The sequence below is a fragment of the Homo sapiens genome, chromosome 2, assembly GCF_000001405.40.
Source record: "Homo sapiens chromosome 2, GRCh38.p14 Primary Assembly".
NCBI classification, from domain to species: Eukaryota; Metazoa; Chordata; class Mammalia; order Primates; family Hominidae; genus Homo; species Homo sapiens.
Window position 1 is genome coordinate 139,451,802 of NC_000002.12, and position 26,245 is coordinate 139,478,046.

Here is a 26,245-nt window from a genome sequence, read left to right on the forward strand (position 1 = left end):
TGCTTTTCTGATGATTAGTGATATTGAGCATTTTTTCATAAACCTGTTGGACATTTGCATGTTTAGTTTTGAAAATTATCTATTCATGTCCTTTGCCCATTTTTAATGAGATTGTTTTATTTTCTATTGCTGAGTTGTTTGAGTTTCTTATGTATTCTAGATATTAGTCCATTGTTGGATGAATAGTTTGAAAATATTTTCTCCCATTCTACAGGTTGTTTCTTTACTGTTGATTTTTTTCTTTGCTGTGCAGAAGCTTTTTAGTTTAATATAGTCCCATTTGTCTATTTTTGTTTGAGTTGTCTGTGCTTTTGAGGTGTTAGCCGTAAAATATTTACCTAGACCAATCTCCTGAAGTGTTTTCCCTATTTTTTTCTAGTAGTTTTATATTTTGAGGTCTTACCATTTATGTAACTAATCCATTGTGAATTAATTTTTGTATATAGTGAGGGATATGGGTCCAGTTTCATTCTTCTGCATATAGATATCTAATTTTCCCAGCACCGTTTATTGAAGATGGTATCCTTTGCTACTGTATGTTCTTGATGTCTTTGTCAAAGAGAAGTTTGCTATAATATATATGTATTTGTTTGTATGTTCTCAATTCTGCTCCATTGGTCTATATCTCTATTTTTATATCATATCATGCAGTTTTGGTTACGATAGGTTTGTTATATATTTTAAAATCAAGTAGTGTAATGTTTTCAGCTTTGTTCTTTTTGCTCAAGATTGCTCTGTATATTCTGGCTTTTTTTTTTTTTTTTGCTTTTATACAAATTGTAGGCTAAGTTTTTCTATTTCTGTGAAAAATAACATTGTTATTTTGATATGGATTACATCGAAACTACAGATTGTTTTGGGCAGTGTGAATTAGAGATAATCCTCTACTCCTCATATTTTTTGAATTAGTTTCAGGAGGATTGATATTAGCTCTTCTCTATATGCTCTGTAGAATTCAGTAGTGAATCCTTCCAGTCCTGAAATTTTCTTTGTTGTGAAACTTTTTATTATTGATTCAATTCCACTATTCATTATTTAACTGTTCAGATTTTCTATTTCTTCCTGATTCAATCTTGGTAGCTTGTACCTGTGCAGAAATTTATCTACTTTTTCTAGGTTGTCCAGTTTCTTAGTGATCATTTCTATTTCAGTGATGTCAATTGTAATGTCTCCTTTTTCATTTCTGATTTTGTTTATTTGTCTCATCTCTTTTTTTTTCTTGATAGTGAGTGGTTTATCACTTTTGTTTGTTTTCAGAAAATAAGTTCTTCATTTTGGTGATCTTTTGTATTTTTATGTCTATTTCATTTAGTTCTGTTCTCATGTATATTATTTCTTTCCTTCTGCTAATTTTGGGTTTGGTTTGTTCTTGCTTTTCTGATTCCTTGAGCTGCATCATTAGATTGTTTATTTGAAATCTCTACTTTTTTATGTCAGAATTGATTGCTATAAACTTCCCTCTTAGCTCTGTATTTGCTGTATCCTAAAGATTTGGTTATTGTTTTTTTCATTTTCATTTGTTTCAAGAATTTTTTTAATTTGCATTTTATTTTTTTAATAGACCCAATGGTCATTCAGGAGCATGTTGTTTAATTTCTAGTATTTATATAGTTTCCAAAGTTTCTCTTGGTATTGATTTCTAGTTTTATTCCAGTGTGATCTGAGAAGATACTTGATATTATTTTAATTTTTTGAAACTAGTTTTGTGGCCTAATATATGGTCTATTTTGGAGAATGTTCCACATACTGATGAGAAGAACGTATATTCTGCAGTTATTGGTTAAAATGTTTTTTGATTGTTAGGTCTAAAGTTCACTTTAAATCTAATGTTTCTTTATTGATATTCTGTCTCAATTATCAGTCTAATGCTGAGACTGAGAGTTGGGTATTGAAGATTCCTACTATTACAGTCTCTCTCTTTAGATCTAATAATATTTGCTTTATGAATCTGAGTGCTCCAGTGTTGGATCCATATATATCTAGAATTCAGTCTGAGCTTCTTCAGAATCAATACTTGGAATTGTTTTTACAAGATTTCATGATATTCTTCCTGATTGGGATCCGTTTCTGAAAAGTTATTTTGTTCTTTTAGAGGCGTCATATTTCCTTGTTTTTTTCGTGTTTCCTGTGCTCTTATTTTGATATCTGCACATCTGATATAACAAGCTCTTTTTCCAGTTTTTTGAATTTGCTTTCATAGGAGATGACTTTTCTGAGTATGTATCTGTAGTGTCGGTTGGGTAGGGCACTTTGGCTTTACTTCTTGGTGTGTGTGGTAATGCAGTCTCTGTATGATTTCTTCACTGTAAACAGTATCAGTGGTACGTGTGATTTTCTCAGTTGCTTAGAATGTGGTTTTTTCATGGGGGCTGTGGTGAAGTTTTTCTGGGGACAGGGATTCCTTTTAGGCCAGTCTTTGGGCCCCAGTAGTGGTAGCAGTGGGCTTAGTGTATCTGCCCTTGGATTCCAGAGTAGTGTACACTGACACTGGTGTTAACGAATCAGGCAGGTCAATTCTTTGACCTCCATGTGCCTTATCTGGATTCCAGTAGTGGCAGTAGTGGGCCAGGTGGATGAGTGGCTTCTCAGTTCCCTGGCCAGCCATATGGTATGAGTGATTGCATTGGCAATGGTGGGATGACCCTCAAGGTCTTGAGTGGTGTGTGCTGGTGGTGACAGTGGCTTCAATGAGTTCAGTAGGCCAGTGTCTAGGCCCACAGATGGCACATGCAGATAGGTGCCAGTTGTGGCATTAATAACTGGGTGTGTAGGTCTAACCTCAGGCCCTGGGAGGAATGTTCTAGTGTCAATGGTGATGGACTGGGTTGGGCAGTCCTCTGGCCTCCACACCGTATACTCTGGCATGGGATGTGAGATAAAGCTGGGCTAGGGAGTCTTGTTTTTAGGTCTCTTGATGGTATACGCAGGAGCCAGTCATGGTAGGTAAGGGTGGGTTGATTCCCAGGCCACCATCAGAATGCTTGGGTGGTGGGCATCAGAAGTCACATTGTTGCTTTGCCATTGGAGAGGGAGGTGCCACTCTCAGAGACAGCAGCTTAGGCTGGCAGGTGTGGCATAGCATGAGTGCTACTTGTGCCTCAGCTCAGGCAGCTTTAGCGACTCAGTCCCTGCTGTGGTAGCTGATACTCACAGCTTTAGGTAGGGTAGCCTGCAGTTGTTCACACCTCAGCCCCAATGGTGGTAGCTTACATCTCAATCATGCCTCAGCCCTGTCTGCAGTAGTCCATAGTCACTCATGTCTCAGCTCTGGGGGCAGCAGTCTGCTCTTTTCCTGTGCCTCACCTACAGCACCACTGGGCTCCAGGGCAGTGTATAGTCTGTTGGGGACAGAGCTCTACAATGACTCCTTGCTCTAGCTGCTTAGGTGTCAAGGAGTGTGTGGTATTCAGTATGAGCTTCCTCCCTGTAGCAGTGCCATCACACAGTCTCCTGACAGCTTCCTATGTTAGTTTCATGGCCCATGACATTTGAGGGGCTCTCTCGATAGGATCTGGGGAGTCCATGGTGGAAACGTGTCCTCTGGGAGTCTCTCACTTACACTTTACCCACATTGGGGAGTCTCTTCTGCCATCCAGCCAATCCTAGCTGAGCAGGCTGCCTTGCTTCCTTCATCTTCCTTATTTTAGATATTTCCTGTTACTTTTCTGTTGAATTCCAGTGTTCTTTCTGGGATGATCTACTCGAAGCATGGTTATCTGCTCACCATTTGGTTCTTCTTAGAGGAGGAGGTGAGTATGAAAAGCCTATAGTTAGCCGTCTTGAAGCTCCTCCTTGTACCTACTTCATTCTTTTGTATTGCCGAGTAATATTCTATTGTATAAATATACCACATTTTGTTTATGCATTCATTAGTTGAAGGAAAACAGAGTTGTTTTAAATTTGGGGCTATTATGAATAATGCTGCTATGAGCATTTATTTGCATATTTTATTTTGTGTGTGTATGTGCGTTTGCGTGAACACCTGTTTTCTTGAGCATACATCTAGGAGTGGAATCACTGGGTCATATGATAACTGTATATTAAACATTTTGAGGAATTGCCAGACCGTTTTCCAAAGCAACTCTACCTTTTACATTCTCATCAGCAATGTATAATGGTTCCAGTTTCTCCACATTCTTGTCAACACTTGTTATTATCTATCTCTTTCATTGTACCATTTTAGTGACTGCAGAGTTGTATCTCCTTATAGTATTGATTTAGATTTTCCTATTGACACATTATTTTAAAAGTATTTTTACATATTTTCATGTGCTTATTTTCTATTTGTGTATCTTTGGAGAAATGGCTATGCAGATTCATAGCCCATTTTTAAAATGGGTCATTTTTCTTATATTATTGAGTTATGAGTGTTAGTTATACATTCTGGGCATAAGTTTCTTATCAGATATTTAATTTGCAAATATTTTATCTCATTCTGTGGTTTGCCTTTTTACTTTCTTAATGGAATCAATTTCAACACAAAAGGTTTATTTTTCATTAATTTACAAGTAAAAATTACATATATTTATGATGTATAATATGATGTTTCAGTATATGTATACATTGTGGAATGGCTAAATCTAATTAGCATATGTGTTACATCATATATGTATCAGTTTTTTTGGAGTGAGACCACTTAAAATCTAACCTCTTAACAATTTTCACATATACAGTATATTGTTGTCAATTATAGTCACCATAATGTATAATAGGTTTCTTGAAGGTATTTCTCCTGTCTACCTGAAATTTTGTTTCTTTTGACTAACATTTACCAATTATGCCACCCACCAGCCTCTGGTAATTATCATTTTACTCTCTGTTTCTAAGTCCAACTTTTTTACATTCCACATATGTGAAATTTTGCAGTATTTGTCTTTCCGTGTCTGGCTTATTTCATTTAACATATCCTCCAGATCCATCCATGTTGTCACAAACGACAAGATTTTCTTCTATTTTATGGCTGAATAGTATTCCATTGTGTATATATAACACAATTTCTTTATCCATTCATTTGTGGATGAACATTTAGGTTGCTTCCATGTCTTGGCAATTATCAATAATGCTGCAATGAACACAGGACTGCAGATGTCTCCTCAGCATACTGATTTCATGTGCTTTGAATATATTCAGTAGTGGGATTACTATAAAATGGTAGTTCTATTTTTAATTTTGAGGAAAGTTCGTATTGTTTTCTATAATGGCTGTACTAATAAAAGGCTTTAATTTTGATGAAGCCCAACTTATCTATTTTTGTTGTTGTTGTTGCTTGTCTTTTTGGTGTCATATCTAAGAAATTACCTAAAACTCTGTAATGAAAATTTACTTTTAAACTTTCTTCTAAGAGTTTTGTATTTTTAGGTCTTACGTTTAGAATATTATCAATTTTGATTTAATTTCTTAGTGAGTACCTTTCAAAATCAATTTCATTGTTAGGTCTAAAAGAGTAGAGAATATGTTTATGATAACATAGCAGAAATAAATAGAAAAAAGTAGAGACAGCACAGACACACTGATATAATAAATCCATTTTGGTAAGCCATTTGGGTCAAACCAATGAAAGATCACAGCACAAAAACTTTATAACTGAGTTCAGAAAATGAGTCTCAAGCTGATTAGAATAGTTGGACTTTCCTATTTAGGAAAAGTGAAGCTGAGGGGAATGATCAGTCCTGCCAGGTAATGAGGATTGACCTCCTTCATGAGACCAGCAAATCTTAAGTTGTTCAGGAGAATGTTCAGATTTGACTGCAATATGTTAAAAAGAAATAACTACTTAGCTATATGCAAATTTTTAGCTATGAACTATTGCTATTCTTAATCCTCACCAGCTTTTGTGGTTGATCTCTTTCATCATATTATACTGACTTTCAAATCACAAATTTCCTGGTTTCGACTTTTAGAAGCTATTTTTATAGAGGCCTTCAAACTCAGGAAGTTGAATGTACTCACTTTCAAATGTATCAATTCTGCAGTTTTGTTAATAGATAAGTTGACAAGTGACAGAAAAACTTTAGCATTCTCCTTCTATTGAATTAATCTTAAAAGAAAATTACTCAGTGAACTCTTTCATCCTCTCATATTCTAATATAAAAACAAATGCTGCATTAGCAAACTGTAACCACTCATCAGTCCAAATGAGATTGAGGTGGAATACTCACTGTCCATCAACCATGATAATCCTTGGATCAGTACAGAGCTGGCACTGTCAGAAGGTTTCGAACTGTGACCTGATTAAAAAGAAAAGCCTAACGGATAGAATCTTTGCGGCAGATTCCCTTCATTATTCTCTCTAGACAAAACGTCACAGGCAGCATCTGGTGTCAGGAACAAATCATATTCTGACTTATATCTACACTAAACACTTTTGCAGCCATAAAACATGCTGCAAACTGGCTCAGAGACATCCATTTTTAAACAGCTGACATTAATGATATATGTAGAGCGAACAAAAAGCTGTATTTTGCCCATCTCAGTATGCTATATTTTCTGGTGAAATCCTTTTGGAAGAAAAACTTGTGTATCAAACTTCCTTTCAAGAAGAAATGTCCCCTCCAGAGTATGAAATGCTGTTAGAGCTATTTCCTCATTTAAGAGGGTGAAGTGTGTGGTGCAGCAATATGCAATTATGTACCATTAGCATATTTTTGCAACTAGTAAACATCCAGCAATATGACCTTATATTTTACTGTACAAAGCTTGATTGAATAACTTACCACACAGATTACTACTAGTGTTCTTAAAATATACAGTAAGAAGTGCAAGTGCAGAAAGAGGCAAAGCAATATACATCCTTTTCTTTGATGCAAAATAGTATTTGTCCCACTTCTGCTGTGTACCATAGAACAAGCTAAAATACTTCCTAAGGAGTAGATATTAAAAGGTTAAAAGGTGGCAATGATTTCATATTTGCCCAATGTAAATGAAGTATATCAAGAGTAGACAAATTAAAATCAGCTAGAATTGGCTAACATGGTGAAACTCCGTCTCTACTAAAAAAAAAAAAAAAAAAAAAAAAAATTAGCCAGGCGTGGTGGTGGGCTTCTGTAGTCCCAGCTACTTCGGAGGCTGAGGCAGGAGAATGGCGTGAACCTGGGAGGCGGAGCTTGCAGTGAGCCGAAATGGCACCACTGCACTCCAGCCTGGGCGACAGAGCGAGACTCCGTCTCAAAAAAAAATAATAGCTGGGCGACAGAGTGAGACTCCTTCTCAAAAAAAAAAAAAAAAAAAAAATAGCTAGAATTATGAAAAAACTTGTGGCATTTGAGCACTATGTTATAATAAACTAATCATATAACATTTCAGGGCATAAAATAGCTCGAGGAGATGATTAGGTCATGAAGGTGGTGCTCTCATGAATGCGATTAGTGCCTTTATAATAGAGGATACGGAAAAAAGCCTCTGACTACGAGGCCAAAAGTGGGCCCTCACCAGAAACTAATCTGCTGGTACTTTGCTCTTGGACTTTGCTCAGACTCCAGCACCATGAGAAATAAATTTCTGTTGTCTATAAGCTACCCAGTTTATATTTTCTTATAGCAGTCTCAATGGACTAAGACAGAGGTAAAGACAAGAGGTTTTCCAGAGATTTGCTGGTGCTTCATCCTAGAAGACTGTTTTTAGTTCTCAAGGGTGTTAAACTTTGGACTTTTCTATATACAGCTTGAATTTTTCTTTTAGCCCCTATCCTTATAAGTGGTTCTTGCATTCCTATATATGTGTCTTGTTATTTTATCTCTTAAATTTCTAGTCCTTTTTAAAAACTCTTTAAATTTATTTGTGTTCATGTTTTATCTTTTCAAATCTTATTTTTCTACTTTATTTTTCTTCAAGATTTTTTCATATCAACCATCTCTTAACATTATGTAATCATCCTAGCTCATTAACCATGTATTTTTAAAAATTTGTCTTAATTCAGTTTATTTTTACCCTCACTATTTTATTTTTCTTATTAGTATTGCTTAGCATTGACCGCTCTTTTTCATTTTTGTTAAATAATGAGGCAAATAAAATTCCTGGACATGTTAAGCTTGGATCTAAAAGCTAAAACATATTTCGAATAAGAAGGTTGGTCTGTTTTTTCTTTCTCCAATTATTACTGATATTTTTCTATGATGTGGGTATTTATTGGGTTATAAGCTATGTCTGTTACATTTTGAAACATCAAAATAATTGATGGAAGTCAACATATATGCAGTTTAGACGTTTCTGAACATAATGTTCTGGTTTTACATTATCTGTTCAGACTCTGATTCAAGCTAATCTAGGTTTCTGTCCTTCACTGCCTAAACCTGCTCTCTGCTGTGTGCCTGCCATGGTTGGGCCACATTCCCCTCTAATTATCCTTGAATATCATCCTAGTCCCATGTAGTGGTCCTCCAAAGGTAAAGCGTTCACTTCTAAATAACTAAAATTGGCAGCACCATAGTATATTCTAAACGGAATTCTTTCTGATCTAACAGTAGACTAATGAAAAGATTCTCCTATGAGATTTGTCAAAATGTTTCTGAATTTTCATGTATCATTTAGTCATTTTGCAGAGACTTCAGATTTGAAATCCAAAGTCTCTATCTAATGGAATTCATCATTATTCCTTAATACATGAAAACAGACCACTGCAAACTGGACCTAGGATGCCTGCGCAGATTTCTATTCAGGAAAGATCCCTACAAGGATCCACGTTGCATTTAAAATTAATAATCAATGACTTTGAATTATTCAACAGAACTCCTCTAATGAGAAATAATGAAGAATTATTAAGACTACTGAGTTAAAATTAAAACCCTCTAGGTTGAGTTTCTAGATTATAAGAAACTTATAAAACATGTGTTTTTGGTGCCTGCTTTATAGAGTTCATTTGGTAGTAAGTAAGGACCAGGAATCTGAATATTTAATAAGCACACCCCCATGAATCTGAACCAGGTGGTCCACAGACTGAAGTTTAGAAACACGACCTGTAACACTGATCTTTCAATTTCCCTGCCCTATTCTGAGCATCAAGATTTTTATCCAGATCAGAAATTTTGACAAATTGGCATTTTAGAAAAAAATGAAACCTTATTAGAGTTATTTAAGAAAATAACAAACCTAGATTTGTCCCATAGGCTTCCATTCAGCTGTATTTGATTCTGTCTATTGATCAACAAGACCACTTTGTTTTTTTTTTCCCTGCATTCAGTAACTAATGCTGAGAAGCAACCCTTAGGGAAACAATTGTCCCAGTCCAGATTGTGTATTAGTAAAGGTTTGGCAGTGAGTTAATCAATCGTGGCATCCAAATCCCCAGAAATTATCATACCAGCCAATGAATGGAAACACTGTTTGAACTGACAGAAGTTAAATTGGGAGCAAACAACTCTACAGGCTGTAGAACACTGGTAGTTCAAACACTGAACATGAGCAGTATGGTCAGCCCTTTTTAGACCTGTTAATAGTTATTTCCCCCCTTATAACTAGAAATAAACAGGTTTAAAAGTACAAATGTGAAGAAACTTCTACTGTAAAAGTCATGTATTTTAGGCCTGAAATCTTGCTTTCACATTTAGAAGCCCTTTCTTCTAATTGCAGGTAATAAATCTTACTCTAGTTATTTAGAGATAAGTTTAGTCACCCTACCAAGTCATTTACTTCTGTTAGTTTCAATAATCCCATTAGATTTGGGTGCCTTTTTCATATGAATTAGTAAATATTATTTTTTTATTATTCTTTTTGAGTTGGTGCATACAGATAGTCCTCAGCAAGGTGCAATGAACAAGGTTGGCACTTTTCATGCTGTTGCTCACATACTGGCTATCCTGAATTATCCTTCATAATCAAGACTTTGATTGTTATCAGAGGGCAATATAAGAACCAGCATTTTGAATTCTGTTTCTTTAAGCTTTGAAGGTATTAATAAGAAATTGTCCTCTTATCCCCACAATATCACCCTCTATACATGCAAATGCATTTTGTAGGATTTAGGTGAAGAAGGGTCCATTGTAACTACTTTTTGAAAAATAAGTTAGAAAAATCCATCTTTCCTCCTTTCTCGGTGTCTGCCAGAAAAGATGGCCATTATGATACAAATGGTTTTCCTTTTGTTTCTTCTTAAATTCTGCTCATTTATTTTTATGTATTAATTTTATTTAAAAAATTCTTTTAGCTTTGGATTTGGTTTGTTTTTATCCTGATCCACCAGACTAGGTGGAAAGAATAACATTGTTTTGATTAATATTCTTTAGGTTGGTGACATCATTTCTTCACTGTTCCAAGTAATATCCCATTTTTTATTTTTTATTTTTAATCCTTTTATACCCCGTTCCCAGTTCTATTTTCCTATTCTGACATCCATTTTAACATATTTAAGGTGAATGTTGCTAATCTATTTTTTTTACTGTGTCTTGTATGTGTAAAGTCAATGAACCACGAACAATAATATTTGATGTTCGCTCTATGATGTTACATTGAAATGTATCTCACTGCACTTTTCTTTGCAAAATTTTTTCTCATCGTTATTTTAAAAATTCATTCATTTTGATACTTATAAATCGGATCACCATTTTTAATTGCTATATAGCATTTCATCATAATGTAATTGATTTCTTCCTTCACTGATGGAAGAAAGGCTGTTTCCAATATTTTTGCTGTTATGAATTATTGTGAATATCTTTCTATATTCATGTGAAAGTATAGGTAAAACAATTAAAGATGAAGATTTTTTTTTTTATTTTCGGATGCCATTTTATCTATATAGGACAACCAAAAGAATAAATGGGTAAATTTAAGTAAGAATTAATTTTTTTAAGTTTAATAGGGCATCTGAATACAAGATCAATATTTTAAAAGCAGTAGTGTTTTTCCATTAGTTTCAGTAATTACAATTACAGCCTTTCTTTTCTCTCTTTGAATTCCATTTCTTTATTTTCCTTTTTCAAATTTTTATATTACACTTATCATCTCATTATTCTATTCTGATGTAATTGAAGAAAATTCCTAAATCAAAATTTGGATTTGTTTACTATTTAGTGCAACAATGGACTGTTTTTGTTTAAAACTGTATTTTTTATCTTCACCTCCACCATCTCCAGGTGTTTGTTTATACATTTTTTTCTAACTCTTTCTGCTGATGTTCCTTTGATTAAATACCTTCTGTCATCTTCCTGAAATTGTTGGTTTTATTTGGTTTGACTTTTTCTGGCTGCTCTGTCATCTATTCCCTTGGATATAATGTCTTTTGTTTGTTTTCAGTTTCTTTAGGCTCTAGTGTTTCTTGGATGTCTGGTAGTTCCTTGCTTCATTAATATTTCCAGTTGAGAAACTGCACAACACTGTTGGCTGCTGCTCCTCTATCGCAGCCCTCTCCCAGCTTTCAGCAAGGGCCCCAGGCTGCTGTTCTAATCCTGTATCTGACCCCATTTGCCCTCAGTCTCTAAGGTCCTTAACAACATCTGTTGCTCCAAGATATTCCCTTTTACCTCTAGGCATTTGCATTTTTTTTTTCTTTTTTATCCTCAACATATATTGATTATGGAGAAGGCAGACAACAAATTGAACTATCTTCTATTTGTGTTTTAATGTAGAAAGAATTATCCTGAGGTGGTCATATAATTTATCAAACCCGTACACTTATGAATGTTAAAAGTGACACTAACTGAAACATACAGTCTACTTTAATTCTTCTTGAAAAAAGATGGACTATCAAAAGATTTCATAGGTTTATAAAAATAAATTCTTCTGGCAGGCACAGTGGCTCAGGCCTGTAATCCCAGCACTTTGGGATGCCGAGGCGGGTGGATCACCTGAGGTCAGGAGTTCGAAACCAGCCTGGCCAACGTGGTGAAACCCCGTCTCTACTAAAAAAAATTACAAAAATTAGCCAGGTGTGGTGGCATGCACCTGTAATCCCAGCTATTTGGGCGACTGAGGCAGGTGAATTGCTTGAACCCAGGAGGTGGAGTTTGCAATGAGCCAAGATAGCGCCACTGCACTCCAGCCTGGGACAGAGCGAGACTCTGTCTCAAAATAAATAAATAAATAAATAATTCTATCTATCTAATGAATTTTCATGAAAAGATCTGTGATACATATTTTAAAGTAACTGGTTTTTTTTTGTGACGGAGTCTCACTCTGTCATCCAGGCTGGAGTGCAGTGGCGCGATGTCGGCTCACTGCAAGCTCCGCCTCCTGGGTTCACGCCATTCTCCTGCCTCAGCCTCCCGAGTAGCTGGGACTACAGGCACCCGCCACCACGCCTGGCTAATTTTTTGTATTTTTAGTAGAGACGGGGTTTCACTGTGTTAGCCAGGATGGTCTGGATCTCCTGACCTTGTGATCCGCCCGCCTCCGCCTCCCAAAGTGCTGCGATTACAGGCTTGAGCTACCACGCCCGGCCTAAAGTAACATTTTACATGAAAAAGCATGTAACTTATTAAGTATGATATTATTTTAGAGAAACTGTACACTTAAAGTTTGGAAATTGCTTTTCTTTTCCTTTTCCTTTTTTGCTTTCAAATGAGATGAATAACAAAACGACTGTAGTGTATCAGTGGCATGATGTTGCTCTGTACACGACAGTTTCCCCACATTTATTAAATTTATTGAAAATAATCCTTTTGTCTATAATGGTAGAAAGTAGTTGCCAATTAGTTCTAACCTTAGCAAATTAACTAATTTTCCTTTTCCTGTCTTGTTGAGATGTATGAGACCAGAAACTGCTATAGAAATTGGATAAGAAATTAATTGGAGTTCCAAAAATCTCACATTCTGACAATAAAGCTTTGTGGTCAAATGATGAATTTCTAGCCTCGATTCTGATTTAATGAGGTTTACATATTACACTTGAAACCATAATATGGTAAACAGAATAACAGTCCCCAAAAGATGTACATGATCTAATCACAGAACCTGTGAATGTGTTGCTTTATGTTGGAAAAGAGATTTTGTAGACTTTAAAAATCTCAATATTGGAAGATTATCCTCGATTATGTGAGTGAGCCCAATAGAGTTGCAGAAGTTCTTATAAGGGGGAGGCAGAAAGTTCAGATTCAGAAAAGGAGATGAGACAATGGAAGCAGAGGTCAGGCAGTAAAAGAAGGATTTAAAGATACTAGGCTGCTGGCCTTAAACATGAGGGAAAGGGTCATGAACCAAGAAATGTAAATAGCCTCTAGTAGCTGAAAAAAGTAAGGGAAACTTTCTCCCTTAGAGCCTTCAGAAGGAATGTAGCCACCCTGATGACACCTGGACTTCAGAGCTTCTGAACTCCAGAACTATAAAATAATAAATGTATGTTGTTTTAAGGCACTAAGTTTGAGGTAATTTGTTACAGAAGCAATAGGAGACTAATGTGTGTATCTGTCCTTGGAAACCTTACACAGAATATGTCCTCTGGTCATTGGACTCAAGTTTTGCTGAACTGTCCCCTTATTTCTGCCATCCAAAATGACAGCACAGTATCAAACAGGATTTTAACATATATAATGTCTATAATTATATAAACACAACTGATTACATATTTATATAATATAGTATGTAATTATAATGTAATATATAATTATGTATTAAATAAAAATAAATATATTTATATCTAAATATAAATATATTTTTATATAGACTTAAATTTATTCAAATATAAGTAAATATATAGTCACAGCATCAGTGTATTTTTGGGAACTTGCTTTGTGGTGCTATAAGTGAAGTCAGACTAACCTTTGTGGCACAATTTATACTCATAACAGATAATTTTGCTGTCAAATCACCACTTAATAATTTCCTTTATTAAACTTTCATCTACAAAGAGCACACATGGGTTAGTGATATAACTCCCCAAGTTGTTTCTAAATTCTCCAGCTCTTCTCTCGCAATCCTAACTCTCCCTGCATTCGGAATCCTAAAGATCTTCAATTATCACGGCCTTTCTTGAGATTAGGGAAACTGCTCTTTAATCATCACATTTTTTTACTCACTCAAAACTATAATTCCTACAAAATTTTCTCATAATGCCCAGAGCCAAGTTTCAAGAATTCAAAAAATTCTTTACTCGATGAAAGCCAGTGCTCTGAATTTTATTATTATTTCTGCTACACAAACAAAAATATTTATTTATAAATTATTATGTCCTGTTTGTTCTAGGCTAATGTGTACTTCTCCTTGAGGCAATAAACGCTACTGGGTGGAGTGTAATAATAGTAACAACAAGAAATGAAACCTTGCTTACTTCCTCAAAAAGCTCACACTGTACTAGATGTATTGCTTGGCTCATTCACCTCAAGGAAAAAGGATCAACCCTGGATAGTGATGCCCCTTACATATGTATTCACAGAGACGAGGAAAGCAATCACGGGCATGCCCCAGAGGCCAGGACATTTTAGAGCTCTTTCTCTGCAATCTCTGCTTTTGGGAAATCTCTGCTTAATCAAAGTATCTGTTTTTTTGCCGCCTAAAGAGTGCTTTCATTTGTAAGATCCATTGTGTATCTGTTTTTGTGCTTTAAAAGTAAATATCAGAAGAAATTTCCTGTTGCTGTGCAGTAATCTTAGTCAAATCTCAGCTTCCAATACCACCAACCATCACCATCAGCATTTCAGTATTTTTTTTTTTTTTGCTTTTTAATGTAATTTCTGGTGACCATTTGTGTGGATTAGTCTTCACATTTGTGGACTGAGACTCGCAGGAATGAGTTTCCTAACATATGTAGGGGTAAAGGGAATTTTCCCTACCCTTCAAATGTTTGAATTAGCTAAAAAAAAAAACTAACAAACAAAAAAAACAAACCAACCAAAAAAATCTGACAGTAGATTAACAAAAGAAAAAGGAAAGTTTAGTATGAGTACAAGGAAATCACAGGACAGTGATTACCCAATGACCCAGTGAGGTGTAGAAGCTTATATACTCTTCTTCATAGTGAACAGGGAGATGGGGAAAAGTAGGTAAATTTGAGGGGTGGTACATGATTTTTAGGACCATCAAATGGGCCCAAAAAACAGACAATAGTTTGTAAATGATTCTCTTTGGAAATTGAATGGGACTGAAGAACAGACAATGGCTTGTGACAAAGTCAGTGTTTGATGACATTCCTCAGTCTTCCTTTCTACAATATGAGTTGAATTTTCCTTGGTTAATACATTTTAGGGAGGGGGTGGAAGGCAAAGGCATTCCTCCTGGAGGAACTTCAGATAAGGGAACTTCAGAGAGAGAGTTCACCCTATGCTTGTGAGTGGAAACAGAAGGTCAGAAAGTCCGTGGTTCTGAGACTGCTTCCAAGGCCTTTTAATTTTCTTTAGTTCAAAGTGCTCAGCATGCCAAAGTGCCATACTTTGGAGAATTATTTTCTGCGCTGCAATACATCCAACAGCTTTTTGCCAATCTGGAATAGTTATTATTTATAAATCAAGCTGGTGTCTTACCCAGGAAGGTACAGATTCAATATTACGACGCTGAAGAATAAGTATCTGCCTACAGAAATAGGTGTAAGCATTGCAGAAAGCCTCCTGAAATAAAACTATCCAGCAGACTCTCCTATGTGGCTCATTAAAATCAATCTGCAAAAGCAACAGATATGTAGTGGGAGAAGAACTTAGATTAAAGAAGAAAGTTCTGGTTAGATTTGAAACATATAAAGAAGAGGGTAGGCTTGTGAGATGCAAATTACCATGTACTGTGAGAGTCCATGGTTTTGGTTTGCTAAGGGATAGCACTGGGGTTCTCAGAATGTGGTAGTGCAATTAATAAAAGAGAAAAATGAGGTCATCTAGTGGAGGTTGGAGAAGACCCATATTTCACACATTCAGGTAGTCACACTCTTCAAGCATTGTGGGTTTTGATAACAACATGCTCCCTTAAAATTGTGGAAATGAGGTACACTAATACTAAATTCTCAAAGCTTATCAACAGTGCAGAAACATTTCATTCAGATCCTTCTTTGGGAACTGGATCATAATATGGGTTGAAACTAGTGTCAGGAATTCAGCTAAGTTGGGAGAGAATGAGATTGCTGAGTTGTCAGGTGTCAGGATAGCCGAATAAAACAATAAGCCAAAAAAGAAAGCCTTAAGATTTTAATCTCTTATGGCTGTGATATATGCAAGAGGCTAAAACCAGAGAAAACACAGACTCCCTCTGCTCCATTTTCCACCACAGAACAGAGCACCTGTGGGAGGTCAGGTGAATCAATATAGATGTGATGTCCTCTCACAGCTGAGGGAGCCTCCAACAAAAGGCTTGGCAATGTTATAGACTCTGGGGTTGGTGGAGAGGTGAAGGGAGAGCAGTAGTCGTGGAAAAGTGCTGGGTGCTGTGTCAGAGTGGGGAAAAGTGTCTTTAGGCCCCACCTACAAACCATAAGGAAGCCTTGGTAGAGACACCTGAAGAGAAACTCTGCCCAAGGCCTCAGATAGAAACCTAGGAAAGAAGACACCTGGGCTAGGAAGGTAAATGCATGAAGAGCATGACCTGCCTGGGGAACCTGAATCCTTGACTGCAACCCCCTGCAGAGACCTCCCCGTGCACTGGCTGTGCACCCTATCTGCAGTGGGGAGAGCAGCTTTCTTCTCCATGAGACCTGCTAGGCAAAGCCTTTGTAATTGCTTATGGTCAGGCTTGATAGGTCACACAAAGGTTTTTAAATAGAAGGCGGACTCCTCAGGCAATAGAGACCACCAAACTCTACTACTTTAGACAGTCACTTAAAATACGTAATGTAAATAACTAATGCCTTTTAATTTTATTTAAATTTATTCCTTCTGGCTTAGCCTAGTAGTAGTTTGTGGATGTCACGACAGGTGACATTTGATATTTAACTTTGAGGAGATAAAAATGGCAGAGTCTATCTAGAAGTGCCTCTCAATGACAGATATTTGAATGAAATGTAACATCTAACACAAAAATGTTTTCAATATTTGGATTTGGGTCATTTTGTAAACACCACTTGCAATGTTCCAAATTTATTAGGATCTCCACTAAAATGAATATTTTTGTTGCATTTATTATTACTGAAGCTGCCACTTTATTTCAAGTACCAGTATAGGCAATATGCAAAATGTTCACTTTAAAGTGTATGCAGGAAAGGAACATTAAATATTGAATGAATATACATATTGTCTGTGTTTGCCTTCGTGTCATTCACATGATCACCCTTCAAGCAGGTTTTCAAGGGCAAGGGTTTATTAGTTTAGGCTACAAGCAGTAAAGATTAGAACTGACAGAGACCCAAGGGTCAATAGAGGACGTTTTTCTCCATACTGAGTGTTAACTTCACTTGTGGCTTAGCTAGGAGGATTTTATTTAAACAAACAATGGGAGTAGGAATATAATAACCAATGACTCTTTCACTTGCTGTAAATTACAATAATTCATTTTTAATTTTATTTTTATTTTTTGAGACAGAGTCTTGCTCTGTCACCCAGGCTGGAGTGCAATGGTGCAATCTTGGCTCACTGCAACCTCCGCTTCCCAGGTTCAAGTGATTCTCCTGCTTCAGCCTCCCGAGTAGCTGGGATTACAGGCGCCTGCCACCACTCCCAGCTAGTTTTTGTATTTTTAGTAGAGATGGGTTTTTCACCATGTGGGCCAGGCTGGTCTTGAGCTCCTGACCTCAAGTGATCCACCCACCTTGGCCTCCCAAAGTGCTGGGATAACAGGCATGAGCCACCGCACCCAGCCAAGAATTCATTTTGAATAAAATTCTAAGAGAAAAATATTTTGAAAAAGCAGCAAGTGCTGAAGCAGATACATTAAAAATGGAGCATCGTTCATAGCTTTGACTGATATTTTGGTGTTTGCAAAATATACCTCACTGGGTAAGCATTTTTGGAAGTAAAAGCTGATACAGTTTTCCTCATTTATTTAAAACACAATATTGGTAAATTTCAAAACATTTCTGCTGTGCAAAAGTTTAGAGAAATGTGCCATTTGAAATATCAACTTCTCTGAATAATTGGGAATAAATGTTTTTAGCTAAACAACAGATTTGTGTTTTAATTATTTGTGTTCTTTCCCCAGATATATGATCTCTGGTTGTTTTGTGATCCCAGGATCTACTGAGATGTATAGCATAAGAAGTTATACACATCCTGGATTTTGTAAGTTTCCCAGCTTCTCCATTGTTCTTGAGTATCATTTTTCAGGGCAATCATAAAAATGGGCAGGGCATGAAGCATTGCACTTCTAAAACTTGCAAATCTGAAACCTGGATTTCCAAACATATCAGAGGTATGTGTAAAATAAGAATACCTATTTTCTGAGTGAAGGCTTGAGGGAGTCCTCTATGAATAAATGACACTATTTTGACTACCTAGAGGTCATTTTTGTGTTCCTTTGTTTTATTTGTTAGACAGGTGGAGCTGCTTGGTATTTAAATTCTACCCAGGAGGAATGTTACTGTATTTCTTTGGATTACCTATCATTTTCTCCACTGAGATGATGAAAGGTTTCAGATGTCAGAGGATAATGGAAAACAGTGAGGTGAAGAGTTCAGCTTTCTGCACATGCATCTGACTTTTACCGTCTTGTAAGACAGAGAATCTAGATTCTTATGGCTTATTAGAATTTTCTAGGAAGCTTTTAATATATATCTTTATACTTGGCTTTACCCCAGTCTTTCTAGGGGTAGGGACTTGAGCATCAGATATTTTCAAAATCCCCAACTGATTCTAATGTGCAGGAGGTTGTGAATCATTGGTCTAATGTCAAGTCAATGATATTCTCCAAAATCAAGTTTCTCATCTATATAATAAAAATGTTGGATTATAAAATGGCTTCCACTTTTTTTTGAAAGGGGACACAAATCTCAATCTATATCTTAAGAAAAATCTTAACATTTGTGGAAATAAACAAAGACCAACCAAATTAGAAAACAAAAGCTTTTATTCAAAGCTTGCTATAGCAAGGGAGTTAGCCTTTGTCCCTTGCATTTTGGCAGAGACTCAAAGGCAGGCAGAGGAGTGGAAAAGTTTTAATTAGTGGAGAAAGAGAAGGTTTCAATTATGCCCTGATCAAAGGCTTTTGGCATGGGGAATGCTACAGGCTAACTAGAAGTGGGACATCCTATGGAATGGCTAAGGGATACATACATTCTCTGATTGGTCCTAAGTTGGACATGGGAACCAAAATTAGAAAAGTTGTAATTTATTAAGTTCCGACTATTCAGAGCTGATTGTTACAGAATTTTTTGCTTCTAGATTGTTACTCGAGATGGCAATCTGGCTTTCCACAAGTCTGACTTACGGCAGGCTGGCTTCCTGATTGGGATCCTAGGCAGGTTGCTGCCAGTTATAGGTCAGAGTTTTATTTTTATATATGGTCTGGCCATGGTCCATTGGTATATTCAGTCTCTCACATTTATAATCCAAATTCCTGTCACTCCCTTCTCCCTGTCTCCCACAAAAAAAATAAAAGGAAAGGAAAGGCTTAAACCTTATCTCATATAATAGTGGAATCTATTCCCTACTTTAGTTCTCATCAATCATCTCCTTCCTCTCTATCCTGGAGGGAAAGCAGAATTGCCTGAATGTACCTCCTGAGTATTGGCAGCCTGCTTTTCTGCAGTTATCTAGCTCATAAGCATTGTTTCAGCATCTCTGAAACATGATCTCCATTCCCGTAGAAGGACCCAAGTTAGAGCAGCTCTTTCTCTGCTTTCCCTGTAACATAAACATGGCTATTAGTATCACGTTATTACTAAAGTTTTACAGATTATGGAAGTGGTGTTGGGATACTTTTAGCAAAAAGAATAAAGCAAATCATAATATAATACCCTGAATTCTAAAATTCATCGACCATCTCCACCACAAGAACATTCTTACTGGTCGTCTTCTGAGATTTCACTTCATACCATGTTGCAGAGCAAACTCCCCATGTCCGCCCTTCCATTAATTCTCTCTTCTGCTTCTTGTGCACACCAAGGTCACTCTTAACACCATTCTGACAGCATTTTGTTTCAAAGGTATAGCAGGAGGAAATTGAGCATGTTTCTTATATTATAATACGGTATAATTTGCATATTTGGTATAAAGCTCTTATCTATATCAGGCCCAAAGAACTTTGCTTTTTGACCAAAAGGCTTATTAAGATATTTTCTCCAAACCAAATTCAACAGTGTATTAGAAGAATCATGTACCATGATCAAGTGAGATTTATCCCTGGGATGCAACAATGATTCAACATATGCAAATGAATAAATGTGATACACCACATTAACAGAATCAAGAATAAAAATTAAATGAACATCTCAACTGAGGCAGAAAAAGCAGTCCAAAAAATCCAATTTTTTAATGATAAAAATTCTCAACAAATAAAGTATAGAATGTTCCTCCATATCACTATCAGGGAAATGCAAATAAAAACATCAGAGAGATTTCTTCACATCTATTAGAATGTTTATTATCAAAAGGTGAAAGGTAAGTGTTAGTGAGAATAGAAAGAAAGGAAACTTTTTACATTGTTGGTAAAAATGTAAATTTGTACAGTCATTAGGAAAAAACATAGAAATTCCTCAAAAGATTAAAAAAAGAACTACCACATGATCTTGAAATCTCATTTCTGGGTATATATCCAAAGGAAATAAAATCAGTATGTTGAAGAGACATCTGCACTCCATGTTCCTTGCAGCATTATTTACTATGGCCAAGATATAAAATCAAGCTAAATCTCCATTAATGGATGAATGGATGGAGAAAATATGGTGTATATATACAGTGGATTATTATTCAACCTTAAAAAAGACAGAAATTCTGCCATTTGCAACAACGTGGATGAACCTGGAGGTGAAATAAGCTATGCACAGAAAGACAAATACTGCATGATTTCTCTTATATGTGGAATCTAAAAAGCAGAACTCATTGAAGTAGAGAGTACAATGGTGGTTGTCAGGAGCTGAGGAGTCAGGAAACAGGAAAATGTTCATTAAAGGGTAAGAAGTTTCAGCTATGTATGGGGAATAAATTTTGGAGTTCTAATACACAGCATGAGGACTATAGTTAATAATACTGTATTGTGTATTTGGAACTCACTAAGAGAGTAGATCTTAAATGGTCTTATCACACCCACATACAAGGTAACTGTGATGTGATGGATATAGTAACTTGCTTGATTGTGGCAATCTTTTCACAATATATGTGTATACCAAAACATCACGTTGTACCCCTTAAATATGTACAACTTTTACTTATCACTTTTAATTCAATGAAACTGAATAGAAGCGATATTTTCTGGAATAAGAGTCTTTGACCTCTAAGGCAATTGCTACTACTCCCCTGGATTATGGGAGAAAAGACAGTTTAGTTTTTTTCTCATTTTTTTTCTTCTTCTTGTATATTTTAATCTCATATGTGAAACAGATAAGATCACCAAATCTGATTCAAATTAAATATAGATCAAGTGTGGGCAAACTTTTCCTAGAAAGGGGTAGTAAACATTTTAGACTTTTCCCATTTTATGATCTCTGTCACAACTCATCTCTGTCACAACTCATCTCTGTCACAACTGCTGCAACAAAAATCTCCTGTTGAATCATAAAGTGGCCACAGACAATACATAAGTAAGTAGTTATAACTGTGTTCCTGTAAAACTTTATTCACAAAAACACATGGTGGGATTTGGGAACAAGACATAATTGGCCAACCTGCCATCTAGAGAGACTGACTCTAGAGCCCTGGTCAATCATCTGCCACTCCTTTCCATATTCCCCTTTCTTGTTCTATTTATGATCCCGTGGAAGTTTCCTCTGAGCTCTATTGATTCTAAGGGATACAGTTTGGAAAGGCACGTTTATGGAAAATACATGAAGAGTCTTAAATTTCAGAATCACATAAGTTTAATGAAAAAATTTGTTAAAGACTAAATGTGTTTTTAAGTCATGTTTTTCATATGTCTGAATTTGGAATTTAGATCTATGGTAGAAGTAGAAACTTTCCACGTGAATTTTTCCAGAAGAATAGAAGTTTCTTGCAGTAGAGTTATACGTATGTATTTCTTGCCCCATTAGGGCTGTGAACTTCTTAAAAGTGGGTATTTTATTTTTCTCATATCTATGCCAAGCATAATAATTTATATAGAATAAGTGGTTAGTTAATATAGAATAATTGCATTGAAAAATTTGCATCCTTCTGTATTTTGAGATTGTTAGCACTTTATCCTAATTATCAGATTAGTCTCTGGAAATAAATGAAAATGAAATTTTTATAAACCCTATTTCCTCTTAAAGTCACTGGCATTCATAGGAAAGATAGTTGCTTAGGATAATTAAATCTTAAATACTTTAGAAGTATCCCATATTTGGAAAATAGCCCAGGAATCACTGGGGGAAAAGAGAGAAAAAATAATTGGTTATGCAGCCGTTTAGACATCCAAACTTCCTGAATAACAACTCCAAATTCTATTTCGTTTTCTTTTGAAAAGAGGGGCTGGCTACTGTTGGGCCAGTCTGACTTCTATGACCACCTTCCTTCTGAAGAGCTTTGCTCATGATTGACTAGGGACTCAAGCTGATTGACAGGTTTTCCCATTGCTGAACATATATTAGAGGCCTGTGTTAATTAAGAAATTCTCCCAACTACTTCAATTTTTTTAGGGTATACCCTTAGATTCTGGTAATTTATTCAAAACCAAACAAATGGGTGCCCAGAATTGTCCATTTTCAGGTTGTATAAGGTGTGTGCTCTGTGCTCTCGTTTAAAAACAAGCAAGTAAAGAAACAAGAAAACTTGAACAACAAAGCTAAAATACAGTTCTCCCATTGAGTGCATTCTAACTTTTTATTTTATTTTATTTTATTTTATCTTTGGTTATTTTTCTTAGGTAAAGAACAGCTTCATTACTGGGTACAAAAAAAAGCAAGATAAAGATCAAAACAAACCATGTGCCACGAGTCCTAAATATATATCACCATTCATTATGAAATGTTTATTCTTAACAATGAAGTGCTTAAAAAACAAAATCAAGCTGAAACTTCTATTTTCCAGTGAAGAACCAAGATGGAGATCATCAACTGGGCAACATTTGTGGTGTAATTTCATGTAGATCACTGTCATAAGCTTATTTTATACACAAGCACCCATGTAAATGTGCACACACTCAATAGCAATATATGTAGCTCTTTCGTGGATCAATTGCCATAAAATATATATTAAAAAATTATGGCTTGCAGCAAGTGCTATTGGTTAATCATTGAATATCCTTAAGTTTTTAAGTGACTCAGAAATATTAGTCATATGGGAGGATAATTTAGCTAAAATGAATACAAGGATTCTTGTACATTCATTCTCATTTCTTTTTTTCTTCTTAGCAGTTGTTTTTCAGGGTACCAACAGGAATAGCTACAGAAAACAGAACACTTAAAACAGTAAAATCAAGGCCTTCTAAGTGTATTAAAAGAGTAGAGAACTATCCAGAGGTAATAGGTGAAGCCAGTGCCTCTCTCTAGCAGAGCACCGCAGGATAAACCAGGAACCATGGCTCTCATGGTTTTGCAGTTAGAGCCAGCGTCCTGCCAGCAATTGAAAGGAGAGATCTTACCCTGTGCTGTAGGTAGCTTCTGAAATGGCTGCCAAGGATCCCTGCTTCCTTGTATTCACGCCTTGTGTAATCATCCCTCTAAGGGTGGGCTGGACCTAGAGACTTGCTTCTAACAATTGTAATTCATCAAAAATGATATGTCACTTCCAAGACTAGATCCCAACAAGGTTTCAGGTTGAGAACCCTTTCTCGCCCTCTCGTGTGCTGGATCTGAGGAAAGCAAGCTGCCATGCTGAGAGCTGCCCTATGAAGAGGCAAGGTATTTTGAGGTTCTGGTACTATGGTAGGCACTAAAAATTTAGCAGTCAGCAAATGATACAACCTCACTCCTTATGGTGCTTTCATTATTACTTAGCAAAAGAGAGCATCGATTCTTTGTCAAGCAGACCTGGGCATTTATTCCAATTTCTACGCATATTATCATGACTTGGAGGAAGTCTTTTAACCTTTCTAATCTTTAATTTCTTCTTTTTTAAAATGTAGGGGTGATAAAAGTACTTCTTCCATGAAATTGCTGGGGGTTAAGTGAGATAACAGTAAGTTTCTTTGTAAAGAGATTATTGTAAGCATTTATAACGAGAAGTACTATGTTGCTGTTCCTCTTATCTGTATCCTGGTCATCATTGTTAGAAAAGGGCAAACACTTTTTTTCCCATTTCTTAACTTCCAGAAAGAGAAGTTGTCCCAGAGTACATTATATGTCTCTCTTGTCTTTTTACTCTTTTCACCTTTAGGGAATTGAAATAATTTATTTTTAAGTCAGTAACTGTGACAGAAGAACACAAAATCACTGGATGAGAGAAATAGATAATTTTTAAAGCAAAAAGATCAGGCAGAGCAGCATCTTGCATCAGTTCCTAGCACCCCAGTTCCCACAGGGCAATATGATGAAGGCCAAGTGTTACCTGTGTGTGTAGAGGGTTACATCACAGGACAGGAACCGTGACAATAGGAGACTGACTTTCTGTGGGGCTGGTGGCACATCTACCTTTCTTGTTACGAGAGACAGAGAAAGAGTGAGAGAGACAGAAAAAACATATTACCCTTGTATAGAAGCAAATATCTTCAGGAAGGAGAAAAAGAGGATATTACGATTATTTATCCTTAGATAGTTCTGGGAAGGTTTGTCTTCATATCTCTCTGGAGGCATACGTTATCTGTAAGACTGCTCTTCAAAGAAAGGCCCTCACCATGTAGGTGCATGGAAAGTCATCTTTCAATAGTAACCTAGTAGGAAATCAAGAAAGAATAATTTACTAGATTGAGCTCAGTTCTACCTTTTTACCTCAAACAGTGGCCTTTCCACTGGAATCATTGACGGTATAGAGAAAAACTTGATTCAGGAGGGTTAATAAGCATGAGGTTCCAGCAGCAGGTCCAGTTGGCTCTCACACACATCGTTCATATTCATCACAACAGCCCCATGTCACCGAAGCAATTATTTTGTTCAATATGATTTATTTAAAAATACATGAAGATGTAATTTAGTTTGGAAACATTTTCATCCAAAATCATGAGAGTCAGTTTTAGATGTTTAAAGCTATTGCTTATGTATCATCTCAACTAATTTCTGGAAGTTGATTTAAAAAAAAAAAACACTTTTGTATTGGGTAACCCTCATATGAATGTGTAAATTGTTGCTGTTTTGTTAACTAACTTGTTTTTAGTTGTCTGGATTGCAGCAGGGCCCATTACTAAAGCAAATAATAGGGTGGCCCAACGTTTTACGACAAGATAGAGAAGGATCCTCTAAGCATGTGAGAGGCTGAACGTTGAAAAATAAGTAGGAGCTGACCAAGGTGGTAGGGGTAGAGTGAGGAGAAGGTTCTAAGTATAAAGAAGAGCAAAGGAGTGATCACTGCACTGAGAAAGGACTTGGAAATGACGTGTCTCTGAAAAAAGGCCACTATGGCAGAACTTCCTAAAGGAAGGGAAAAAGGCATCAATATGAAGCCAGAGAAGGAAGCCAGAACTGGATCCTATAAGGACTTAGAGTGCAGGTTGAGGATTGTACCCTTTATCTTAAGAATTACTATAGTATAGTAATAAGGACACTGGGATAATTGCATAATCGATTGCAAGAGAACAGAAATTGATGAGGAAACCAGTTAGCAGGCTATAGCAGTTGTCCAAATGAGGGACATAAATGGAAGAAACTTCCTGGGTTGGGCAGGAACTTTCCAATATAGAGACTTTCCCTCCACAGAAAGAAGAAAAACAGGTCCTCACTGCCCTATAGGACAAACCAGAACACGACGGCCAGGATTCAGCTCCTAACCAATCAAATAGAGGATTCAAAAATACCCAATCAAGAGGAGGATTGAAAAACAGACTCTTCTGAATGGACAAAGGGAGAATATGGGAGGGAACAACATGGGAATATAAGTCAGACTAGCAACGGCACCCTCTTCCGGGTCCCCTTCCACCACGTGGAAGCTTTACTTTTGGTTTGCTCAATAAACTGCGCTGCTGCACACTCTTCTGGCCTGTGAATTTCTTTGAGCTGTAACACTCACTGCGGGACCGTGGCCCACTATTCCATTCTTCGGAGTCAGCAAGGCCAAGAACCTAAGCTCAACTCCAGTTACACAAGCAGGTAATTAAACCGGCCCAGCAGAGTAGGTGACATTAGAAACAGTGGAAAGCAAGTAGATTCCAGATATATTTAGACAAAAGGATTATATTCAGATTAATTCTCCAGAGTGAATTCTGTGTCTTATACACTTAAGGATCCACAGTAAATGTTCACCAATCGTGCTGA

General features: G+C 36.3%; 1 long non-coding RNA gene across 2 annotated transcripts in view; it reads left to right on the top strand.

The window, feature by feature from the left end:
* LOC105373645 (uncharacterized) overlaps positions 1-25,960 on the top strand; it is a 66,805-nt gene extending 40,845 nt beyond the window's left edge. Inside the window, exons 2-3 of one of the 2 annotated variants that reach the window (XR_923378.3) lie at positions 17,974-18,053; positions 22,768-25,960. This is a non-coding gene — a long non-coding RNA (uncharacterized LOC105373645). Of the gene's footprint in view, positions 1-17,973 lie in introns of both variants that reach the window. The other variant, XR_007088681.1, reaches the window with a different exon arrangement.
* Positions 25,961-26,245: the final 285 nt, after the last annotated feature.